We start from the raw sequence: 26402 nt of genomic DNA, 5'->3' as shown, positions 1-26402 counted from the left end.
TACTTTTGTACTGTGAATATTGTTGTCAAGAAGGAAGCCTCAAACTTGAGACAGTTGTGTTCCCTTCTCATTCTTTCCGGTTCCAGGGATGGCTGCTTCAGCTTAGCACATGTGTGTGTTGGCTGGCATCAAGGTGGAGGCCCTATGTTACACAGGTGAATGAAGGCTCCTGAAGGCTTTAGGGGCTTAAGATGGAGAACCCTGCATTTCTCTTTGTACACAAGAAGTTGTGTCTCAAAATTTCAGAGATCTATCATTTGGTTGTCTACCATAATTAAAAGTGAAAATCAGAATAAAGCCACCTAGGTCATTAAATGAAATTCTTGCTTTAAAAAAGAAAGAATGGCCAGGCGTGGTGGCTCACACCTGTAATCCCAGCACTCTGGGAGGCCGAGGCAGGGGGATCACAAGGTCAAGAGAATCAAGACCATCCTGGCCAACATGGTGAAACCCCTTCTCTACTAAAAATTCAAAAATTAACTGGGCATGGTAGCACATGCCTGTAGTTCCAGCTACTTGGGAGGCTGAGGCAGGAGAATCGCTTGAACCCAGGAGGTAGAGCTTTCAGTGAGCTGAGATCACGCCACTGCACTCCAGCCTGGCGACAGAGCGAGACTCCATCTAAAAGAAAGAGAGGAGGAGAGAGAGAGAGAGAGAGAGAAAGAAGAAAGAAGGGAAGGAGGAAGGGAGGGAGGGAGGGAGGAAGGAAGGGAAGAAGGAAGGAAGGAAGGAAATGCTCCTGAGTACCATGAAGGTAAAGTATTTTGTGCCTTGAGAACATGAAACGAGGAAATATGAATTTGTTTCAGTAGCTGAATATGATCTAATACTTGATGAAATTCCTTCTTTTTGAGTTAAAACCTCATATCTATAACTTTAAAAGATGAATTTCCAGTGACCATTGTTTCTCTCTTCAGCACTCGTTGAAGGAGTAGGTTGTTGAGGAAAAGAATGGTTAGGAATTGGAAATATCTAGCTAATGGTGATGATCTTATAGTCATTCCATACTTGTTAAGTATTGTTGATTTCTCAGAAAGATTTCTAAGATATAAAATGTATTTTGGATGTAATGTCATGTAATTTTGGATATTAGTCATGGGAATCACCTCTCACGCTGCTGAAATACAGCAGTTTCTTTTCTTTTTTTTTTTTTTTTGACCTTTCTATGGTACTGACAAATGCAGCAGTTTCTTCAGCAGGGTAGCAGCATCCATGAATATAATGCTGTCAGTCACTGTGTGCTCTTTAATACCTGTGTTTACAACAACTAATTATGATGCTACTGCTTCTGTGGTATGCCCTCTGAGAAGGCTGATTTGTTACTATAATTTTATTTTTTGGCTTACTTTTTATCATGGAGGTATTTGAGCATACGGAAAAACGGAGAGAATATCATGTTACTTGGTTCCCACAATTATCAACACGTGGCCCACTTGTTTTATCTATACTTTGCTCTCATGCACGTTCACAATTTTGCGTCCCTCATTGCACTGTTTTATAGCAAATCTCAAGTATTATTTCATAAATAATTCAGTATCTCTAAAATGATGACTTTTTAAGCCGTAATACGTTTATCACATGTAAAATGAATAATTCCTTAATATTATCAAGTATCTAGTTGTGTCATCATTATTTTAAATTCTCTATCATGTGAAGAATACGTTTTAATTGTGGTATTAGCTTGATGCAGAACATATAGAGAGTTTTTCTTTTGAAATTGGAATATAAAAAGAATAACCCTGTTCCTGGAATAAAAATTTAAACACCATCTTTTTTTTTTTTTTTTTTTTTTTTGTGATGGAGTCCCACTCTGTCACCCAGGCTGGAGTGCAGTGACACTATCTAAGCTCACTGCAGCCTCTGCCTCCTGGGTTCAAGTGTTCCTCCTGCCTCAGCCTCCCAGGTAGCTGGGATTACAAGCATGTGCTACCATACCTGGCTAATTTTTATATTTTGAGTAGTGACAGGGTTTTACCCTCAAATTCCTGACTTCAAGTGATCCGCTTGCCTCAGCCAGGACCAGAGAGCGGGGGAAAACACCCAATAACTAGACATCTTCATGTAACTATCAGTCTTGGTTAATTTTAACTTACATTATATTTTCTCATTGCTTTGAAAGTTAATGAATATCATATGACTTGCTGAAAGAAAGAGGAGGCTGTTTTGAAAATTCCTGCTTCAAGTTTAAGCAGGCTGGTGCTGAGCAGGTGTTGAGTTTGTGGGCTCTTGAGCCCAATGACTGTAGGGTTTTGGATGGTAGTCAGTGGCCTTGGACTGTGAGTTTAGCACCCTCAAGACAGACTTCCAACTTTTGCTCGTTATTCATTACAGTTCACTGTGGCAGGTGTTCAGTGAGCACTTAGTTTATTCAAATTAAACTGAGGAGAATACCTCCTAACTAGAGAATACTGAAGTTATTATAATTTGAAATAATAACTTTGGGCCTGGATAGTTTTGCTTATTTGTTAATTCAAGATACTGGGCTGGGTGATTTCTTTTTTTTTTTTTTTTTTTATTGAGACGGAGTCTCGCTCTGTCACCCAGGCTGGAGTGCAGTGGTGCGATCTTGGCTCACTGCAAGCTTCGCCTCCCGGGTTCACGCCATTCTCCTGCCTCAGCCTCCCAAGTAGCTGGGACTACAGGTGCCCGCCACCACGCCCGGCTAATTTTTTGTATTTTTAGTAGAGACAGGTTTCGCCGTGTTAGCCAGGATGGTCTCGATCTCCTAACCCCGTGATCCACCTGCCTCGGCCTCCCAAAGTGCTGGGATTACAGGCGTGAGCCACTGCGGCCAACTGGGCTGGATGATTTCTAAGCTCTCTTGCTTTTGTTATAATTCAGAAATGGCACAATATGTAGTACACATATTTGAACTTCTAATAGGAAAAGCTGAACAACTCCATAGAAAACAAAGTTCAAAACAGGCAGTAATCTTTCATTTATGTGTGTGTGTGTGTGTGTGTGTGTGTGTGTGTGTGTGTGTGTGTGTGAGAGACTGGGTCTTGCTCTGTTGCCCAGGCCGGAATGCGGTGGCAGGATCAGTGCTCACTGCAGCCTTGACCTCCTGGGCCTACATATCCTCCAGCCTCAGCCTCCCAGGTAGTTGGGACCACAGTCATGAGCCACCATGCCTGGCAAATTTTTTACAATTTTTTTTTTTTTTGGTAGAGATAGGATCTCCCATTTCCCTATGTTGTCCAGGCTGGTCTCAAACTCCTGGGCTCAAGTGGTCCTCCTGCTTTGTTTGGCCTTCTAAAGTGCTAAAATTTACAGGCGCGGCCACTGTGCCTGGCTTTTTCTACACTTGTTTCTTTCCTTAGCTAGAGCTATTAGAAATGAAGAGCTGCTTGCTGGTGGGAGCACAGTAAATGTGAGCTGCCATCTACTTACTACTGGATCCAAGATGCTTGAAAGCAAAACTCTTCTGTTCAGGGATGACCTGAGGATGTAAGAATAATTAAGAGTGATGGAACTTTTTCTTTTTTGAAGAGTTGGAGTCTCACTCTGTCATGCAAGCTAAAGTGACACACGATCATGGCTCACTGCAGCCTTGAACTCCTGAGCTCAAGCAGTCCTTCTGTCTCAGTCTCTCTAGTAGCTAGGACTGCAGATGTGAATCACCACACCTAGCTAACTAAAAGAAAATCTTTTTTTAAGAGACAGGGTCTCACTATGTTGCCCAGGCTGAAAGAACTTTAATATTTATGTGTACTTGTTTATGTAGTGTAGAACCTTCCCTCCCATGTTGATATTATTAATTTGGGAAAGAAAGGGGGTCGATGACCACTTGTAAAGAATTGTGCCCTTGGAATTTTGTGTGGTTCTTTTTTGTTTTTGACTTGTTAGGGAGAATGTCAAACATATATAAAAGTAGACTAAACAGTGAGATGAACATCCAAATATCCATTATTCAAAGATTGCTTCTGTAATAAACTCACAGCCAATGCGGTTTCATCTGTACCCACACCCCTTTCTTCTTTTCATATATTTTTTTTCATTTTAAGCATTTGCAATAACTTATTTACCTAACCACCTATTGGTAGATATTTGAGTATTAAACCATTAAAAAATTTTTGTAATTAATACCCTTTCTTGCTTTGTGGTCTTGTGTGAGTTTTTTAAAGATAAATTCCTAGAAGGGGTGTTGGGTCAAAGGACATGCATTAGGCATGTTTTAGTTTTTGTAAATTTCTTCCAATTTTGAGATGTCATCACATTGCTTTCCAACAAACCTGTACTAATTTACGTTTTTGCTGAGTTCTCACTTTGTCTTTCACCTAGAATCACTGTTTGCTTTCTCTCTTTGTCTTTTATATATGTGTATATATGTAATATATGTATATATAGGCATATATATGTATTTATATAGTCCCCTGTGAAACATTTGAGGCTCTATTGCAGACATTATAACTCAGTACTCTTAATACTTTAATGTACATCTCTAAGAATAAGACATTTTCCTAATGTAATTGTGTGATCACAATACAGTGACCACACTTTTAAAACTTAAAAAAATTCCAAATATCAGTTTGTTTTATTGGTAAATATTTTAGTGTGCCAGACATTAAGTCCTCTTTGTTGTTGTTGAAACATAAACAAAATACTGTTTTTTTAATGCTTTCAAAGAGGAAGGCATTGCAAAAAAAAAAAAAAGTGGCTTAAGAGAAAAAACATTACAAAGGGAGGAATAAAACCGAAGTGTCGTGTATGCTTAAAGCAGTGAGTAAATAAAAACCTAAAAAAATGTAAGAGTAGGCTGGGTGCGGTGGCTCACGCCTGTAATCCCAGCACTTTGGGAGGCCGGGGTGGGCGGATCACGAGGTCAGGAAATCAAGACCATCCTGGCTAACACGGTGAAACCCTGTCTCTACTAAAAATACAAAAAATTAGCCGGGCTGATGTGGTGGCACATGCCTGTAGTCCCAACTACTCATGAGGCTGAGGCAGGAGAATTGCTTGAACCCGGGAGGCAGAGGTTGCAGTGAGCCGAGATTGTGCCACTGCATTCCAGCCTGGGCGACAGAGCGATACTCTGTCTCCAAAAAAAAAGCAAAAACTTCAAGATGATTTCATGCCATGGGTCATGGGGTCTCCTTGCTTGGTCTGTAGAGCTTGGGGGGCCCATCAGGGAGAGGAATGGGCACTCATTGTGCCTCCTACCCTGCTGCTTGGGTGGAAACATAACATGGCACAGGATGAGTGGGGGCTCACCCTGCTCAGGGAGTCATGGCAAGTGGCCACTCATGTGGCCCACTCCCCTCATGACCTTTGGCCAGTGACATCCACAGCAGTGGTTAGGGGCAAGGACACGAACTCCTGTCTTCTGGAGCGTTTGAACATAGCATCAGGGTGTGGCTTCCCCTCTGGAAGCTGAAGGGATACACCAAAAGAGCACTGGCCAAGGCTTTTTGCCTCCCCTGCGATGTCCCGAGCTCCTTGACTACCCCAACGCAATCCGGAAGCAGCTCTCTCAGAATCCAGCCTCCCTGCCCCACCCTGGAATGCAGGGCCAGGTCCAGGACTTGCTGTGGCGCGTGGGTGGCTCCTCCCCGCAGGCCTGGTCAGAGGAGGTGGGGCGTCGGCTCCTTTCCCAGCCTTCAGGCCGGTGTCCACGGCTGTGCTTGGCCTCCTTCACGTAGGGTTCCAGGAGCCCTTGGTGGTCTGCTTATCCACCTTCACCCCGGGAACGCCTTGACCCAGCAGCCAGTCGTGAGGTCCTTGGGCTGCCCGGCTGGCCCTTGCACCAGAACAGGCCGCTGTTGGCGAAGGCCTGGATCTCCATGACGGCCTTTGTACTGGGCCCTTGATCAGCAGACGCCGGCGCAGGCCTTGGGTGAAGAGCATGTCCTCGGGCGTCCCCGGCTTACGCATGGATGACAAGGGGTAAGAGGAGATGGAGGGGCCGAGGGCGGCTCACAGTAGAGCCAGTTTAGTACCCAGCTCGCGCACCAGCTGAATGCTCCCTCCATGGTGGTCGGTGGCCGGCAGGGCAGCTCTGCGGGTGCCAGCCCATCAACAGCCAGGCGATCAACAGCTAGGCGAGCAGCGCTGCACAGCCGTCACCCCGCAGGCCCTTGCAGTGGTAGCTGAAGACGTTGTGGGCCAGTCAGGTCGATCGGCAGCACCAGCTCCCCAGGGTTGAGGGACAGGGCTGGCCCCCTGTTGATACGCCCACAGGACCCGGGAGATCACAAGCTCGTTGGGGTTCTTTCTGAACTGCCGAGATGGCGAGGAGCAGAACCAGCGTGGCACGAGCAGAACCAGTCCATTGGCCCAGGTGGGTGGGCGCTGGCGCTTTCTTAGCCATGGCTGCAGTCACCCCTAGGTAGGAAACAGCAGAGACCCTGGAGGGACCCTGCGAGGGCGAGAGCTATGGCTGGGCCCTTCAGCACCTAGGGGAACCACCATGATGGGGGCATGGTGGGTGGTCCTCAGCTTGAAGCTGCACCCAGCCTTTACTTTCTCCAATGCGTCAGCAAAATAATATTATTGATCTACATTTTTTCTTTTCTTTTCTTTTTTTTGAGACGGAGTCTCTCTCTGTCACCCAGGCTAGAGTGCAGTGGCGCGATCTCGGCTCACCGCAAGCTTCACCTCCTGGGTTCATGCCATTCTCCTGCCTCAGCCTCCGGAGTAGCTGGGACTACAGGCGCCCGCCACCACGCCCGGCAAATTTTTTGTATTTTTAGTAGAGACGGGGTTTCTCCGTGTTGGCCTCGTGATCTGCCCGTCTTGGCCTCCCAAAGTGCTGGGATTACAGGCGTGAGCCACCGTGCCCGACCTGATCTACATTTTTTCTTATGAACACTAGAATTTATGCAGAGCTCAGTTCCCATTGTTATACATGCTGTAATTTAAAAAATTTTCTTGTACAACATTGTGAATGTCCTTAATGCCACAGAACTATACATCTAAGGTGATTAGAATGGTAAATTTTATGTGTATTTTACAATAACAAAAATAAATTTAAAAAATATTGTTTAAAGGATCCAATTGACCAACACGTTGTGTTATCTTCTCTCTTTTTTTAAACAATGTTTTATTGAAGCATGTTTTATATTGTAAGTGACCTACTTGATGAATTTTAGTAATTGTATAGAGTTATGCAACCATCATCACCATTTAGTTTTAGAACATTTTATTACCCCCAAAATGTGGTCATTTACAGACAATGCATCCTGATTCTGGGAAACCACTGATGTATTTTCTATACAATTTTGCCTTTTCTAGAAATTTCACATAAATAGAATCATCCAATATGTAGTCTTTTGTGTCTGGCATGTTTCATATAGCATGAAGTTTTTGAGATTTATCCTTGTTATTGCATGTATCAGTAGTTTGTTTTTATTGCTGAGAATAATTCCTTTTCTTTTTTTTTTTGAGATGGACTCTCGCTCTGTCACCCAGGCTGGAGTGCAGTGGCATGATCTCGGCTCACTACAAGCTCCGCCTTCTGGGTTCACGCCATTCTCCTGCCTCAGCCTCCCGAGTAGCTGGGACTACAGGTGCCTGCCACCACATCAGACTAATTTTTTGTGTTTTTAGTAGAGACGGGTTTCACAGTGTTAGCCAGGATGGTACCGATCTCCTGACCTCGTGATCCGCCCCCCTCGGCCTCCCAAAGTGCTGGGAGAATAATTCCATTGTATAAATAGGTAAAACGTTTTGTTTATCCATTCACTAGTTGATGGACATTTGGGTTATTTCTAGTTCTTGGCAGTGAACACAAGTAAAGTCTTTGTGTGGCTGTTTTCATTTCTTTTTGGTGATCCTCAAGAGTGGAATTGCTTGGTTGTATGATAAGTCTATGTTTAGCTTTTTTTTTGTTTTTGTTTTTGTTTTTTTTTGAGACTGAGTCTCGCTCAGTCGCCCAGGCTGGAGTGCAGTGGTGCGATCTCGGCTCACTGCAGGCTCCGCCTCCCAGGTTCAAGCTATTCTTCTGCCTCAGCCTCCGGAGTAGCTGGGACTGCAGGCGACCGCCACTACGCCCGGCTAATTTTTTGTATTTTTAGTAGAGATGGGGTTTCACCGTTTTAGCCAGGATGGTCTCAATCTCCTGACCTCATGATCTGCCCATCTCTGCCTCCCAAAGTGCTGGGATTACAGGCGTGAGCCACCGTGCCCGGCCTGTGTTTAGCTTTTTAAGAAATTGCCAAACCATTTTCAAAGTGGCTGTACCATTTTTACATTTGCACCAGCATTGTATGAGGACTCACTTCTCCATCCTTATTAAATTTCCTATTGTTCGTATTTTAGCCATTTTAGTTGGTGTGTAATGATACTTCATAGTGGTTTTAATTTGTATTTCCCTAGTGACTAATTATCTTTTCATGTGCTTGCCATTCATATATTTTCTTTGCTGAAGTACCTATTCAAATCTTTTGATTGAAAAATTGGATTATTGTCCGGGTGTGGTGCCTCATGCCTATAATCCTAGCATTTGGGAGGCTGAGGTGGGCAGATCGCTTGAGCTCAGGAACTCGAGACCAGCCTGGGTAATAGGTGAAACTCTGTCTCTACTAAAAAAATACAAAAATTAGCTGGGTGTGGTGGCGTGCGCCTGTAGTCCCAGCTACTTGGCAGGTCTGAGGCAGGAGGATCACTTGAACCCAGGAGGTTGAGGCTGCAGTGAGCCAAGATGGTGCTACTGCACTGCAGCCCAGTGACCAGAGGGAGACCCTGTCTCAAAAAAAAAAAAAAAAAAAAAAAGGATTGTTTATTTTTAAGAGCTTTTTGATATAAATCCATATTAGGTATATGTTTTGCAAAAAAATTTCTTTTTAAGCCTCTGGCTTGTCTTTTTTCTTCATTGTGTCTTTGAAGAGCAAAAGTTTTGTTTTTTTTTGAGATGGAGTCTCACCCTGTTGCCCAGGCTAGAGTGTAGTGGTGTGATCTTGGCTCACTGCAACCTCCGCCTCCCGGGTTCAAGTGATTCTTCTGCCTCAGCCTCCTAAGTAACTGGGACTACAGGCACATACCACTGTCCTGGCTAATTTTTGTATTTTTAGTAGAGACGGGGTTTCACCATGTTGGCCAGGCTGGTCTCGAACTCCTGACCTGAGGTGATCCACCCGCCTCAGCCTCCCAAAGTGCTAAGATTATAGGCGTGAGCTGGGGGGTGGCACCTGGCCTGAAGAGCAAACGTTTTAAACTTTGATACAGTCCCAATTTATTGTTTGTGCTTTTTCTGGTGTCATGTTTTAAAGTTATTTGCCAGGCTGGGTGCAATAGCTCACACTTGTAATCCCAGCACTTTGGGAGGCTGAGGCAGAAGGATCACTTGAGTTTAGGAGTTTGAGACCAGCCTGGCAGCATAGTGAGACCACTTCGACCACTTCTCTACAAAACATAAACAAAGTTAGCAAGGCATGGTGGCATATGCCTGTAGTCCTAGCTACTTGGTAGGCTGAGAATGGGAGGATTATTTGAGCCCAGGAGGTCAAGGCTGCAGTGAGCAGTGATCGTGCCCATTGCATTCCAAACTTGGCGACAGAGCAAGACCCTGCCTCAAAATAAAAATAAAAATTCTTTGCCAGTCCAAGCTCAGAAAGATTTTCTATTTTCTTTTTCTGGATATTAAAAAATATTGGCTCTTACATTTAGGTTTATGGTCCATTTTGAGTTTTTATGTATGGTATGAGGTAAGGTTGAGGTTCATTTTTGTCCATGTGGATATCCAGTTGTTTCTGTACCATTTGTTGAAAATACTATCCTTTTTCCATTTCCATTGAATTACCTTTGGCATCTTTGGATCTTTTAGTCTGTGAATATCGTATGCCTCTCCATTTATTTAGGTATTTTTTTAGTTAACTAAGCCATATTTTCCAGTTTCAGTGTACAGGCTTTTCTTTTCCTTTTCTTTCCTTTTCCTTTTTTTTTTCTTGCTTTCTTTTCTTTCTTTCTTTCTTTCTTGATGCTACAGTGAATAGATTTTTTTCAAATTGTTTTTAAAATTTCATTTTAAATCTCTTTTAACCTATAGTGTCCTTTTCAATTTCTTGCTCTTTTTTTCTTTCCAATTTGTTTGATAAAACCAGGTAGTTTGTCTTAATGGTGTTTTCCAGAGTTTGATTTTGCTGATTGGCTCACCATTGTGGTGGTTAACATGTTCCTCTAGGCGGGGCGTAGTGGCTCATGCCTGTAATCCCAGCACTTTGGGAAGCCAAGGTGGGCAGATCACCTGAGGTCGGGAGTTTGAGACCAGCCCGGCCAACACAGTGAAACCCCATCTCTACTAAAAATATAAAAATTAGCTGGGCGTGATGGTGCACACCTGTAATCCCAGCTACTTGGGAGGCTGAGGCCAGAGAATTGCTTGAATCCAGGAGGCGGAGATTGTGGTGAGCCAAGATGGCCCCACTGCATTCCAGCCTGGGCCACAGAGCGAGACTCCGTCTCAAAAAACAAACAAACATGTTCCTCTAACTTCTCTGTGGTGTTTAGAAGCTCAATCAGATTCAAGTTTGATTTTTTTTTTTGAAAGATAGTTCAATAGTTGGTGTTGTGTTCTTCCATTAAGAGGCACATGATGTTTCAGGTTGTCTCTTGTGATTGATGTGTCTCTGTTATTGATGGTCAACACCTAGGTCCAGTAATTTAATAAGAGAGTCTGTCATTCCTTCATCATTTATTAGCTGGAATACTTTTATAAAAAGAAACTTGTCCTTATCTTCTGTTTTGTGACCAGATGGCACAGTTGTGTGTGATCTCTTTAGTTACAAATGCAATGACTTTGTTAACAAGTAGGTATTTTTTCTAATGCATTATTTCCCAGTTGAATTGGCAAACAGTTTGAACTTATTAACAGGTTGAGGATTTGTCTGTTGTTGTTTTCCTCTGCAGTAATGGCTTATGAATAAACCCTTCTGTTGGAAACTGTATGAAAGTGTTCTACTTGTATTATAAAGATGTGCTTTACAGTCATAGACTGTATATATCCTGAATTACTACTTTATAAGAGCCAATTACAGTTTCGACCTTTTCCCAGTGTATTATTTTGTAATGAGTATATAATAATTGGTTGCTTTTTTTTAGCTTTGACTTACGATGCTTCTGTCTCTTACACTGTTTTATTGTTATAAAAGGATTTTCTGTTCTTTCCTTGATCTTGTGTATAAATAAGAAAAGTTACAAAATTGACATAAATTATATTGAGCGCTTGCTATTTTACTGTTATTTTTTTCTTTTGTATCTTAACTCTTTTCACAATTTTTGTATGGGATTTTTTTCCCCTTTTTTTTGGCTGTCAGTGCATCTGTTTTAAATACTGTCACAGTAACTTTGTAGTGTTTCTACATAGTTGTACCTCCTACTAGGAGTTATATGTAGCAGATGCTTAGCATGGTCAGGGCCAAGTGAATGAATGGGGTCGGGGATAGGGAAGGTTGGTATACTAATTGATTAGCCTAGAATTATCCCTTAAAGGTATAGAAATTTACTGCTAGCACATAAAGATTATGTGTTTTATAAAGTAACTGCTGCGAATATAGCAGGCATTTAAACAGTATAGCAGAACAGCTAGTCTGTGCCAGATGTAATATAGGTCAAATTTTGAAGTAATTTGGTTTAAAATGGACTTTTACGTGTAATATAATGTATAAGATGTAATAGCTTTGCTACAAATAAAAAGTACTGCTCAAGAAAACATGTAACTAAACATGTCCATTTAGCATATGGACTACACAGTGCAAAAACTACATGTTTTTTATAGGGATTTGGTTGAAGTTTATAAATGTTAAGGCTTTTGCATAGAAAAAAATTTTTCCTACCCTTTTTACCTGCTCTATGTGCTATTTTTTGAGCTGCTTAAAAAAAAAACAACTGATACAGCATTATATTTTCAGAAATTGGGAAATCTTTAAATAATTTGGTTTTCTTGGCCCTCTTTTAAATTAAAGGATGAGTATGATAAATAATGAGTGCTGAGACTCCAATTCTATCTAAATAGCTGCCAGAACTACTCCTGATCAGTTTCATTCAGACAGAAGTTGCAAGCTCACCACTGTCAGGCACAGTGTAAAATCATAGAGAAAGATGAAGGTGGGGCCCAGACCCTGAGGAGCAGGTAGGCCTGAATCACTCCAGGTGAAATGCTCTTCTAGAGGGTCCCACAAAATGCTGTGGTAGTTTTGAAGAGAGAGAATTGAATTTTGCATGGGAATGTATATTTATTGTTTCCTTTACATTGTGGAGTGTGCTAACCCACCTATGATTTCCCTTAGTTTTTCCTTCTGAAAGATGATCTGCTTTTATGAAATTATTGGTTAGTTTAAGGAAACATACTGAGGAAGGAGTAGTTTTTGTTCCATTAAGACTGATTACCAAGAGCTCAATATCAAAGTCTAATTAACTGAGCAGATTTACCCATGACCTGTTTGGCCTAGTCACAGAAATACACGATATAAAGCAGAAATCAAAATCACTTTAACATTTTAATTTATTATTAAAAAAATTTTTTTTATTTTAATTTTTGTGGCTACATAGAGGTGTATGTATTTATGGGGTATGTGAGATGTTTTGATACAGACATAGAATGTGTAATAATCACGTAATGTAAAATAGAGGTGTCCATCCTCAAACACTTACCCTTTGTATTATAAACAATACTTTATTCTTTTGTATTCTGTTTTGGGCTACAGATAAACTGGAATGTATTTTAGAGGAGGGACTAGGAAGGTGAGGCAGCTCAGGACCTGCTTAGGAAGAACAGTTGATGAACGTTAGTTCTCTCAGCTATGTGAAGGGCTCTGTGTGAGTGAATGAACACAGACTCATTCTGAGTGGGCAACAGCAATGGGCAGAAGCCATAGGGACTTTGCAGCAGGTTAAGGACAGGCTTTGTGGCGGAGCTGCTTAGAAGTGGAATAGATTATCCTAGAAGGTAGTCGTGGGAGTTTTTTATCCCTGTGTCATTGATGGTGTTGGAACACAGAAATGGACAATCTCCTCCTCGGGGATGGATGATGTTTTAGTCATTTGTGCTGCTATGACAGAACACCTGAGACTCAGTAACTTATGAATAATAGAAACTTATTTTCTCACTATTCTGGAGTCTGAGAAGTCCAAAATCAAGGTGCTGGCAGATTTAGTGTCTGGGGAGGTGCCATTCCTCATTGATGGTGCATCCTCATGTGGTAGAAGGTGGAAGGGAATGTGAAAGCAAGAAGGGGCAGGCAGCTCTCAGAAGCTTCTTATAATGGCATTGATCCAATCGCTTCCTGAAAGGCCACACGTCTTAATACTCTCATATTAGGGATTAACTTTCAACGTGCAGGCTGGGCGAGGTGGCTCACGCCTGTAATCACAGCACTTTGGGAGGCCGAGGTGGGCGGATCACCTGAGGTCAGTAGTTCGAGACCATCCTGGCCAACATGGTGAAACCCGTCTCTACTAAAGATACAAAAATTAGCCAGGCATGGTGGCGCCTCCCTGTAGCCCCAGCTACTCGGGAGGCTGAGGCACGATAATTGCTTGAACCCAAGAGGTGGAGGTTGCAGTGAGCTGAGATTGTGCCACTGCACTGCAGCCTATGCAATAAGAGCAAAACTCCATCTCAAAAAAAAAAAAAAAAAAAGAAGTTTCAGCATGTGAATTTTGGGTGGGACACAACATTCAAACCACAGCAGGTAGGGAAGAATTCTCTAGAAAAGCACTGTAGGGTAATGGAGAGCTGTTATTTGAGGAAATGTTGGCACATGGGAATGGTGTGTACAACAGAACTGTTGAGGACTGTTGGACTGGGTGTTACTTATTAAAGTTTTCTCTAACTTTTAGAGTCACCAGCCTCAGTTATTCAGTGAAACAAAGAGCAATTTTAAAAAATCATCCAGGCAGCTGGCTTAATGTATGTAAAAATGCAGTGCTAGGTATAGTTGCTGAAGATACTATGCAGACGTTTGCAAATGAGACAGTAATGTGGGTGTAAAGTAGTTATTTGGGAAAAAATGAGCAAACAAAAAATGTTTATATGTTGAACTTCATTACTCATCATTTGAAGTGAAAAAATTATTCTCTTTATACTTCACCCCACTTCATTAATCTCTCTCCAAAATTGCAAGGTTGACATCACCCCATAGTAGTAATGTTTGTTCATTAGGTTTATTTCCTTGTTTTATGCGTAATATCTGAATTCCCAAGGCCAAAACTCCTTAGCTTTGATAATAGTATTTGTTAAAGTTGAGAAAACTTTTCCTTCCTTCCTTCTTTCCATCCATCCTTCTTTCCTTCTTCTCTCCCTCCCTTTCCTCTCTTTCTTGCTCAACTTTTTCTTGATGTTTTCAAAATATTAAGGTGGCTCTTTGAAGTTTAACAGTCCAACAGTCTGAATTTGTTTGACGTTTTGTTAAAGATTCCGAGAAAAGTAGTATTCTGGTGTTTGAATGGCTTATTGATTTTTTTTCTTTAAAGATTGCTTTGAGATGAAATTGAAGTAAACTTAAGACTTTGCATAGTTAGATTTGACATTAAGTCTCTTCAAGCATTTGGTTTTTGTTTCCAAGTGAGGAAGGACTGAGTGTTCTGTCATCTGACTCTGTGTCACAAAATTCCAAACTTGATGTGGCTGAGCCTGTGATACTCTTCAAAATACCATTTTGGAGGAATTTAATGTGAGTTAGACAACTGAGTCGAGTTGTCTTTTATACTTTAATAGAGAATAATACTGCATTTATCTCACATCCTATAAGAGAAAACTGAGGAAAAACCTTTTAATGACTTCGGGTGTATGCTTTGAGTTATTTTTACCTTTATGATGATGTTTTTCCTGAGTGAGTGGTTGTGTTTTGACCAACTAAGCCCATTTATTTTTTGAACATTTTAAATGCAACAATTAAAATGAACAACCCCTCCCAAGAAAAATCCTAAAAGACAACTAGCCTTTGGAATATATCCGAACAGTTTTAGTAGATGGTGCTGGAAATTTTTTCCCTTTGAAGGAGACATTAGTAACCAATTGTCTGCCTTAAGCCTACCTTTTTCGTTGTTAATTTGCAAATAATGAAGTTTTAAATTCTTGTCGGCCTGTTTGGATGACTTCAGACGTCTGTTTCAATGATAGTTTTGTCCAAGGCTGAAAGAAGTTATACATTATGTAAACACTATTTTTTTCTTTTTCTTTTTTTTTTTGAGATGGAGTCTAGCTCTGTCACTAGGCTGGAGTGCAGTGGCGTGACCTTGGCTTACTGCACCCTCTGTCTCCCAGGTTCAAGCAATTCTCCCAGCCTCCCAAGTAGCTGGGACTACAGGCGCGCGCCACCATGCCCAGCTAATTTTTGTATTTTTAGTAGAGACAGCATTTCGCCGTGTTAGCCAGGCTGTTCTCTATCTCCTGACCTCGTGATCTGCCCACTTCAGCCTCCCAAAGTGTTGGTATTACAGGTGTGAGCCACCACACCTGGCCTTATTTTTTTCTTATAAAACATGAACATTAGTAGGAATAGTTTTATGGAAGGCATGTTTCTTTCTTTCTTTCTTTCTTTCTTTTTTTTTTTTTTTTGAGATGGAGTCAGGCTGGAGTGCAGTGGCACAATCTGAGCTCACTGCAAGCTCTGGCTCCCGGGTTCACACACCATTCTCCTGCCTCAGCCTCCCAAAAGGCATGTTTCTTATAACACATGAAAACATGACCATTAGTAGCATAGTATTATTAAGGATTGAAAATTATACCAATAATTTTGTACTAAGCACTGTAAAGTGGAATTGGTAAGTCCTAATCTTAGAAAACTGGCCACCTTTGTAATATTGCATTTAAGTTCACAAAATAATAATTTAGTGGTAGGAAAGAAACCAAATTATTTTTAAGGAAAGAATAGAAAAGTGGAGAAAAGAAATCAGGAAGAGGAATCTTTCTGTTTAACAGGTGTAGAGATTTAACCAAAAATTTCTATATATTTAACATTAGATACTTTTGGTTTTCAGAGAATGTTTACATATGTTAGATTGAAAGGTGTGGGGGTACTGAAATCTATAAAAACAACTATTAAGGTGTGACTAGGGTCTAATACTAACCAAACAGAAGGCTGCCAAGTGTCCTGCTGCGCTTTGGAAATAACAGGTAAGTAAGTAGACTGCTATTCTGCCAGTTAGGGTTTTGGTTTTACATCTTGCATATAAGTCTGTTTAGATTCCTAATTAATTATCATAACCTAGGCTGGTTTTTTTCCTCATGTCCATTTAACTTTTTGTGCCAAATTATTTTACAGATTTAATGTGTTACGTAGTACATCTCTAGTAGTAACCAGAGATTTACTCCTTTTTTGGAAGCACTTACTTTAAAAGCTCCTGAAGAGTTGTTTTGTGTTCTAAATAATTTATACTTTTTCTAAATAACTAATACTTGTTCCTAGTATCATTGTTGTTAAATGTTCAGCATGCCTCTTAGGTATTGGCTCAGTGTTTTGCAGCAGACATTCACCATTGTGTTTCCCCGAGGATACCCTCGCAGCAGCATTACCCTGGAGTTGGGAGGCGTTCTTGAGGGACAGGTTCTTGAGGTGTTCTTGAGGGACTGACCTGTATGGTTGCCTGTCGTGATTTTTGAGGGGTGGTAGCCTATCCAAAAGTTCTCAATATTTATAACTGATAATCTAGTTCTTATAGGGCCTTAAACTTAAAAAAAATTCCAGTGAATTAATTGTACAGCATATGTGTCTATAGTCTAGGCATCTTTAAATTCTAACATAGAGCTTTTAAAAATGCTTGTATGTTTAATGTAACAATACAAAGCAGCAAAATCCCCAGAGCATCCTCTCTTATAATCACGAGTTAAAGTTTGGTGAGTGATTGGACCTCCCAAGGGTCTCTCTAAGTCAACCACTATAACTTCCCCTCAGCTCTCTTCTGGGTTGAGGCAGAGCCTGTTACTCCGTTGGGGAAAGACTTTGTTTTTTATGCTTTCCTGATGATTCTGACATTTTTGATGATGGCTGTTTATTACACTGATTTTTTTAGCCTTTTGGCTAAATTCAGTGTTATTCCATTCTTAATTCAGTGTTATTCCATTCCATTAAAGAATTAATAAGGAAATGTGTTTTAATTTAAAAATGTGTACTGTATCCTTTCATATGAATTAATCTGTTTTAGGGCCCTACTAGAATAAGATTTTAGAAGCTTATAGATGGCAGCATCTGTCTAGGTGCCATCCAGACTCTTGGTTACTCACCATTCTAAGCAGAACAGTATGGAACTTAGAAGTTAAATGAATGAATGAATAAAACAACTTGAGCGCAGATCATCTAGGGCCATCACTCTATGGTATAAGACATACCTCACAATTATCCTTGTATTCTCTGAGCTCCAAGAAAAGCCCCAGAGCCCAGAAACACTAAGGAGCTCAGGCTTGGGATCAGATGAGGGTTCAAATGCTGCCCCTGCTGCTTCCTATCTACAGTCATGCATGGCATGATGGTGTTTCAGTCAATGGTGGCCTGTATATATGACGGTGGTCCCATACAGTTATAATGGAGATGAAAAATTCCTATGGCCTAATGATGATGTAGTAGCCATCCTAAAGTCATAGTGAGATACCTACTCGTGTTTGTTGTGGTACTGGTGTAAATAAACCTGCACTGGCAGTTGTATAAAAGCATAACACATACAGTTATGTACAGTACATAATACTTGATCATAATATATAACTGTGGTTTATTTACTGTACTTTTAAATCATTATTTTAGAGTATATGCCTTTTATTTATTAAAAAAAAATTAACTGTAAGCCAGCCTCAGACAGGTCCTTCAGGAGGTATTCCAGAAGGAGGCACTGTTATCAAGGAGATGGCAGCTCCATGCATGTTATTGCTCCCGAAGATCTTCCAGTGGGACAGGATGTGGAGGTGGAAGACAACGATATTGATGATCCTGGTCGTGTGTAGTCCTAGGCTGTTGTGTTAGTTTTTAACAAAAAGTTTTAACAAGTAAATAAAAAGTTAATAGAAAAAAGTTATAGAATAAGGATATAAAGAAAAAATATATATATTTTGAGATGGAGTCTCACTCTTTCGCCCAGACTGGAGAGCAGTGGCACGATCTCGGCTCACTGCAACCTCCACCTCCCGGGTTCAAGCGATTCTCCTGCCTCAGCCTCCTGAGTAGCTGGTATTACAGGCACTCGCCACCACACCCTGCTAATTTTTTTTTTTTTTTTGAGACAGAGTCTTGCTCTGTCACCAGGCTAAAGTGCAGTGGCGCGATCTCGGTTCACTGCAACCTCCACCTCCCAGGTTAAAGCGATTTCCCTGCCTCAACCTCCCGAGTAGCTGGGACTACAGGCACCTGCCACCATGCCTGCCCGACTAAGTTTTTTTTTTGTATTTTTAGTAGAGATGGGATTTTGCCATGTTGGCCAGGCTGGTCTCAAACTCCTGATCTCAGGTCACCTGCCCACCTCGGCTTCCCAAAGTATTGGATTACAGACGTGAGCCATGGCGCCCGACCAAAAAAATATTTTTGTACAGCTATACAGTGTTTGTATTTTAAGCTATGTGTTATTACAAGAAAGTCAAAAAAATTTTAAAAATCAAAAAGTTTATAAAGTTACAGTAAGCTAAGGTTAATTTATTATGGAAGGAAGAAAAGTATTCTTAAAACAAATTTAATGTGGCTTACATGTGCAGTGTTTAGAAAGTCTACAGTAGTATACAGTAATATCCCAGGCCTTCACATTCACTCACCACTGACTGACTCACCCAGAACAACTTCCCAGTCCTGCAAGCTCCATTCATGATAAGTGCCCTATATAAGTGTTCCATTTTTTATCTTTTTTTTTTTTTTTTTCCTGAGACGGAGTCTCACTCTGTCTCCCAGGCTGAAGTGTAGTGGCATGATCTCAGCTCACTGCAACCTCCACCTCCCAGGTTCAAGCAATTCTCCTGCCTCAGCCTCCTGAGTAGCTGGGACTACAGGCGCCCACTACCACACCGAGCTAATTTTTGTATTTTTAGTAGAGACGGGGTTTCACCATGTTGGCCAGGCTGGTCTCAAACTCTTCACCTCAAATGATCTGCCCACCTTGGCCTCCCAAAGTGCTGGGATTACAGGCGTGAGCCACCTCGCCTGGCCTCATTTTTTATCTTTTATGATATATTTTGACTACACCTTTCCTATGTTTAAATATGTTTAGATACACAAATACTTACCATTGTGTTACAGTTGCCTACAGGTTTGTAGCCTAGGGGCAATAGGCTACACCGTATAGCCTAGGTGTATAGTAGGCCGCACCATCTAGGTTTGCGTAAGTATACCCTATGATGTTCGAATAATGACAAAATTGCCAAACAACAAATTTCTCAGAACATATCCTCATTATTAAGCGATGCATGACTGTGTATGAACTGACATGTTAACTTTTCCTCATCTGTAAAATGGAATTATCATTGTATGAGTTAAGCAGAATAGGATTAAATAAAAGATTATTAAAAAATAATAAACACTTAAATATTAAGCTTACCATGTGTTGGACAGTGTTCTGTGTGCCTAATTATTTAGTATACAATACATAAAAAGTGCCAGGCACATACATAGTAGGTACTCAAATAATCTTTTCTTTTTTCTTGATAAATGGTTAACAAGCATTTGTTCTGTTGAGATGAAGTTTCTGATCTGTGACTTGACATGAGAAAGCTGAGAAACAGCAACCATGAAATTACAGAATAATTTCAAGTCTTTTCATAACTGAACATGGTCTTTTCCTATAATCTTTTTATAATACTATTGGAATTGGTATGTTTTGACAGTGCTTGTGTTGGTGAATCAAATAGCTCCTGATTTAATCAGAACAAAGACATACTGTTTCAACATGTGCTCATGTTACTGGCTCCCATAAATAAAGCATTTAATTGATGAAAATGTAATCATATTTGAACTCTGGAAGAGCTACCGTTCCAGCCTATAAGATAATATAAGGATAAAGAATGATTTTAAATGCTTTTGACATATTCTGGTACAGTGAAAGATAATTTCAAAACTGCAATTTAGTCGTCTTGGTATCTGGCAAAGAGGAGGTGCTCAATATCCTGGTACTAATCAGTAATTGCTAAGGAAGCCGGGCTGCGAAGTGGTCATACTTAGCCAACTGTGGACCAGGGATTTATAGGGTGGTCAGCCTGATATTTCCAAACTCATTATAGTATGAATCATTATAGTATGAATAGACACACACACACACACACACACACACACACACACACACACACAGTATTTAGTATAGTATTCAGTATATATTATAATAATATATATTACCTATATTCAATATAGTATTCATTATAGTATGAATTTTTAAAGATTATTTATGCCTGAGATTATTGAAAGACATACATTAAAGAAAGCTAGAAAATTTGTCATTGAAGTGCCTGTATTGGAAAGTATGTGGGTGTTGAAATTGGAATGTTAAAAAACAAGGCAGCATAAATTACTGAATTGCTATGGGGAAATGCCTTCAAGGCTGATTGGTAAACCTAGAGAACGTGAAATGTAAGATGGGATTGAAGCCAACAAGGAGGTTCCCAAGGGGCAAAAAAAAAAAGAATTGGCCCCATTCTTGCTGTCTAAAAAAGTTTTTTATGATGTTCAAATGAAGCATCGTGGGTGAAAAAAAGCTTATAAATTGGAGACACTACACAGATAGTAATTATACTTTTGTTGATTGAAAACATTTTCCTGAAAACTCCAAGAACAAACCTTTAGTGGTGAGGGAAGTAATCATATTGCCCTATTTTGCACTGAAGCTCATCATAATTTTTCTTCCTCAAACCATTCCTACTTCAGACTTCCCTTTTTCCATAAGTGGCAGTTCTATCCTTCCAGTTGCTTAAGCCAGAAACTTCAGTCAGCCCAGATACTGCTCTTTCTCTCATACACCAAATCCATCTTACATCTTCCTCCACATTTTCACTTCTCCTGTCCTAGACCTAGCCACCAACACCTTTCACTTGGATTATTCTGTGGTCTTTTTAGTTGGTCTTCCTGCTTCTGCTCTTGCTTTCTTCTCACATAGCTGCAGAGTGATCCTTTTAAAAGATAAATCAAATTATGTTCCTCCTCTGCTCAGAATCCTTCAATGGCTTCCCCAAAGCCAAAATCTTCACAGCAGCCTGCAAGTTCATATAAAATATGACTCCCTGATAGCTTCCTGAGTTCATCTCCTAGCATCTCTGCTGTGATCATTTTGTTCCAACCACTGTGGCCTCAAATACGCCACACAAGCTCCCACTTCAGAGACTTTGCTCTTTTTGTTTTTCTGCCTTGAATATTCTTCCGCACGTACCCACATGGCTCACTTCCTCATTTCCCTCTGGTGTTGTTTTGTGTTACCTCAACACTAAGGCTTTGATCACTCTGTTAAAAGTAGGACTCCCTGTCCTCCTCCCTTGTTCAGTTTTTTTCTCCTAACATTTGTTTTCATTCAACATACATATTATAGTTGACCCTTGAACAACACAGGGGTGTTGACCCCACACGCAGTTGAAGATTTGCATATAACTTTTGACTTCTCAAAAACTTTACTAATAGCCTACTGTTGACCAGAAGCCTTACCACAATAACATAAGCAGTCAATCAACACGTATTTTATATGTTATATATTACATACTGTTTTCTTACAATAGAGTAAGCTGGAGAAAAAATGTTACAAAGAAAATCATAAGGAAGAGAAAATATATTAATATTGACTCTTCACTGAGTGGAAGTGGATCATCATAAAGGTCTTCATCCTTGTCATCTTCACGTTGGGTAGGCTGAGGAGGAGTAAGAGGAGAGGTTGGTGTTGCTGTCTTAGGGTGCCACAGGTGGAAGAGGGGAGGAGGCAGAAAGGAAGGCAAGAGGGGCAGGTACACGTGGTGTAACTTTTCAGAAATAACATTATAGTTTCTGTCTGAATGTTTGCTTTTTCCTTCCTCTAAAACTGTTTCTATATGGTATCAACTCCTCTTCCACTGTTTGCTTTAGTTTCAGTGCCATATCATAGAGGGATCTTGTCATAAAAGCAGTCCTGAGTAATCCAAACCCTTCTGCCAGATTGTCAATGTTGATTTATTTTCTGGCACTGCTTCTTCTACATCTTCTTCTTTATTGGCACTGGTTTTGGAATTATTCATCTCCATCAAGTCGTCTTCTGTTAATTCCTCTGGTGTGCTATCTATTAGCTCTTGAATTTCTCCACGATCTATATCTTTTTTTTTTTTTTTTTTTTTTTTGAGATGGGAGTCTTGCTCTGTCGCCCAGGCTGGAGTGCAGTGCCGCGATCTCAGCTTACTTCAACCTCCGCCTCCTGGGTTCAAGCGATTCTCCTGCCTTAGCCTCCTGAGTAGCTGGGATTACAGGCATATGCCACCATGTCCGGCTAATTTTTGTATTTTTAATAGAGACGACGTTTCACCTTGTTGGCCAGGCCTGTCTGGAACTCCTGACCTCAAGTGATCCGCCCGCCTCAGCCTCCCAAAGTGCTGGCATTACAGGCGTGAGCCACCGCGTCCGGCCCATGATCTATATCTTAACCCTTCACCTCCGACCTTTTTGGCCGTATCTACAACCTCTTTCATGATTTTTGTGATTGGCTCTGTTGTCAATCCTGTGAAGTTATGCAGGACATCTGGACAATTTTCTCTAGCAGGAGTCTATTGTTTCAGGCTTGATGGCTTTCAGGACTTTTTCTATAACAATGGAATCTTCAATAGTGTAATCCTTCCAGACTTTCATGATGTTCTATCAGGGTTCTCTTGCATAGTGTTGACAGTCCTTTCCATAAAGGAATGTGTGTAATGAGCCTTAAAGGCCCTTATGAGCTCCTGATCTAGGGACTGAATTAGAGACATTGTGTTTGGGAGCAAGTAGACGCCCTTCACCAGTTTTGGTGTTGAACTCATGGGGTGAGTTGAACTCATGGGTGGCTTGGGGGCATTGTCAAATATCAAAAGAACTTGAAAAAGCAGACCCTTACTGGCAAGGTACTTCCTGACTTCAGGGACAAATCATTGATGGAACCAGTTCAGAAAAAGGGTTCTTTTTGTCCAGGCCTTAATGTACAACCAAAAAACTAGCAGCTGGCTTTTATCTTTTCCCTTCGAGGCGTGGGGGTTAGCGGGCTGTCCTGATTATAAACCTAACTGCACTTGCTCAAAATAGTCAAGTTAGCCTATCCTTTCCTCCCTTAAATCCGGGTACTTTCTTCTCCTTACTAATTAATGTCCTTTGTAGCACATTTTCCCCCAAAATAGAGCACTTTCATCAGCATTAAAAACCTGTTCAGGTTGGGTGCAGTGGCTCATTCTTGAAATCCCAGCATTTTGGGAGGCCAAGGTGGGAGGATTGCTTGAGCCCAGGAGTTTCAGACTAGTCTGCTCAATGTAGTGAGACCTCGTCTCTGCAGAAAAGTAAAAAAAAAAAAAAAAAAAAAATTAGCTGAGCATGGTGGCATATGCCTGTAGTCTTAGCTACTAGGGAGGTTGAGGTGAGAGGATTGCTTGAGCCTAGGAAGTGGAGGTTGCAGTGATCCGAGCTCATGCCATTGCACTCCAGCCTGGGTGACAGAACAAGACCCTGTCTCAAAAAAATTCCACAGAAACCTATTCAGGTGGAAATCCTTTCTCCTTAATGATTTTCTTAACTGGCATTGGGGAACTCATTTGCTGCCTATTGGTCAGCAGAAGCTGCTTCTCCTCCTAAAGTTTTAAAGCCAAACCACTTTCTAAAATTATCAAACCATCCTTTGCTGGCATTAAATCCTCCAGCTTTAGATCCTTCACCTTTTTTTTTTTTTTTTCTGAGATGGAATTTCGCTCTTGTTGCCCATGCTAGAGTGCAGTGGCATGATCTTGGCTCACTGCAATCTCTGCCTCCCAGGTTCAAGTGATTCTCTTGCCTCAGCCTCACGAGTAGCTGGGATTACAGGCATGTGCCACCACGCCCGGCTAATTTTGTATTTTTAGTAGAGATGGGGTTTCTCCATGTTGGTCAAGCTGGTCTCGAACTCCCCACCTCAGGTGATCCACCCGCCTCGGCCTCCCAAAGTGCTGGGATTACAGGCGTGAGCTACCGCGACCGGACTCCTTCACCTTTCTTTTGCTTTGTCATATAATGACTTTGCTTTTTCTCAAATCATATGAAAGTTTATAGGTATGCCTTTCTACAGCAGTCGTGCACCCACATAAAAGCTGCATTTTCAACATGAGATAAAAACATAATTCACACAAAATGCGAGGTTTTTGCACCTGTTGGCGTAGCTGCAGTGATGGCTTCACAAATTTCCTTTGCTTTTTTTTTTTTTTTTTTAAACAATGGTCCTTGTGCTGGATTTACTTATCTTGAAATGGAGGCAGCTGCAGCTGTAGACCTCAATCTATTGTACATATCAAGCAATCCAGCTTTTTCTTATAATGTCACCACTTCTTTCTGCTTCTTGAAAGCACGTCCAGCATCTCTAGCGGTACTTTCTATGGGTCTTACGGTGTTATTAAATACAGTACTGCACTAAGCATCATGAAAAATGTGTAAGAACCATGGGAGATCACTTTTTATTGTGATATTATTTATGCATTTTACTGGAGAGACGAATTGCCCACGTGGAGATGATTAGTGTCATACAGCATTTTACGGAGATAGTCGCAACACTTGAGCTCAAGGCAATAGCAACAGGAGATAGCTGCAAAATGATTTCATATTGCAAATGATGCAATATGTACTACACTTAATTTTGTGTAGTTATGATGTAAAACTGCATCTTTAGGTTTGTTTACATTTCTCAGGACTGGGAATGACACCATGTACAGTCTGTGTTTGTATAAGTTTTGATATTTTTTAACTTTTAATAATAGATTTGTATATAAAAGTGGTAAATGATAGACTAATAGGTACATGTATTTTATGCATTCACAACACACCTTTTTCTTAATTTTTTGATATTTTTAAGCTACATGGTTTGTCTGCAAGTTTTTTCAAATTGTCATAAATCTCCAAAAATTTTTCCAAGATAGTTATTTTTAAAAATCTGTAAGTGGACCCATGTAGTTAATGCCCATGTTGTTCAAGGCTCAGTTGTATTTATTTTATTGCTGGCTATCTACACACTTTAGATTATGAGATTCGTGAGGGCAGGTTTCAAAATATTTCTTCACCTAGAACAAATGTGGTGTGGCGATAATAAGTGCTCAGTAAATATTTATTGACAGAATTCCATGACTGTTCATAGTATCACTACTATTGATTCATGAAGCCTCCTTTAAGTAGAATAACTGCTATTCACTGTTAATATAAGTTCTGGTGAATGGCAATACTAATTTAAGCACTCTGTTACTAATGGTGGGAAGTGCCATACTGTAGTTTGCAGCTTCCTTTGTAGTTGGATGGGGTCTTGTGACCGGATTTTAATTAGTGGAATGTGGGTGGAAGGGACGTACCACTTTTAGGTCTGTCCCATGAAAACCTCCCATGTGTGATCCCCTACAGTGAATGATTTGTGAAGACTTTGTTGAAGGTGGTAGAGCTATGTGGCGGAAGGCTTTTGGCTTCATGAATAATCACATGGTGGAGAGTTGCCTACTGATTAGGAACACCTGTTTGGACTTCATCTGAGTGGGAAATACATATCTGTTGGATTAAGCAATTGAAAATAGAAATTTATCTGTTAAAGCATAACATTACCTTAACTGATACAAACCAGTAACAGCCAAATTATTTTCTTTCTCCTTCTGTTGCATATCCTAAGGGTAACCCAGATATCTTGTCTCTTTTTTTTTTGTCATTGGCTTCTGTATTTGAAATGTTATTTAAAAGCACAGTTATGTCCTTGAATATAAGTACCATTTTTATAGTTTTACTGAGATATATTTCACAGACCATAAAACTCACTTATTTAAAGTTTACAGTTTTTTTATTCACAGAATAGTACAACTCTCACCACAGTCTAATATTAGAATGTTTTAATACCCCCAAAAGCAACCCTGTACATATTAGTAGTCGTTATCCATTACCTTTTCTCTACCAGCCCTTGGCAACCACAATCTACCCACTTGTCTCTGTGAATTTGCCTCTGTGGTCATTTTATATAAATGGAAGCGTATAATATGTGGCCTTTAGTGTCTATCTTCTCATGTACAATATTTTCAAGGTTATCCTTGTTGTAGTATGTATTCGTACTTCATTTCTTTTTATGGCTGAATAATATTCCATTATATTAGATATATTACATTTTACTTAACCATTAATTGGTTGATACATTTGATTTGTTTCTATTTTTTGACTATTATAAATAATACTACGAACATTCATGAACAAGTTTATGTTTGGACATATGTTTTCAAATGTCTTGGGTATATATTGAGGAGTGAAATACTGGCCCATATGGTAACTCTATGTTTAACACTGAGGAACTGCCAGACTGTTTTCCCAGGTGGTTGCATCATTTTACATTCCCAC

The 26402-nt window shown here is 40.5% G+C and overlaps 1 protein-coding gene across 1 annotated transcript in view, besides 2 other annotated features; it reads left to right on the top strand.

The window, feature by feature from the left end:
* SFMBT1 (Scm like with four mbt domains 1) overlaps positions 1-26402 on the top strand; it is a 142502-nt gene that overhangs the window by 41158 nt on the left and 74942 nt on the right. The window lies entirely within an intron of this gene.
* Positions 4766-5009: a silencer, noted in NCBI's record as "fragment chr3:53033923-53034166 (GRCh37/hg19 assembly coordinates)". NCBI's record gives its function as "represses an EF-1alpha promoter that drives an FKBP-Casp9 reporter gene in an ReSE screen in phorbol 12-myristate 13-acetate-treated (for megakaryocytic differentiation) K562 erythroleukemia cells {active_cell/tissue: K562(+PMA)}" and the evidence as "EXISTENCE:reporter gene assay evidence [ECO:0000049][PMID:32094911]".
* Positions 5892-6392: an enhancer, noted in NCBI's record as "H3K27ac hESC enhancer chr3:53032540-53033040 (GRCh37/hg19 assembly coordinates)". NCBI's record gives its function as "activates a minimal SCP1, AML or CMV promoter by ChIP-STARR-seq in primed H9 embryonic stem cells {active_cell/tissue: H9 hESC(primed)}" and the evidence as "EXISTENCE:reporter gene assay evidence [ECO:0000049][PMID:30033119]".

This window comes from Homo sapiens, chromosome 3 (assembly GCF_000001405.40).
Source record: "Homo sapiens chromosome 3, GRCh38.p14 Primary Assembly".
NCBI classification, from domain to species: domain Eukaryota; kingdom Metazoa; phylum Chordata; class Mammalia; order Primates; family Hominidae; genus Homo; species Homo sapiens.
This window is presented reverse-complemented; position numbering and strand designations above follow the sequence as displayed.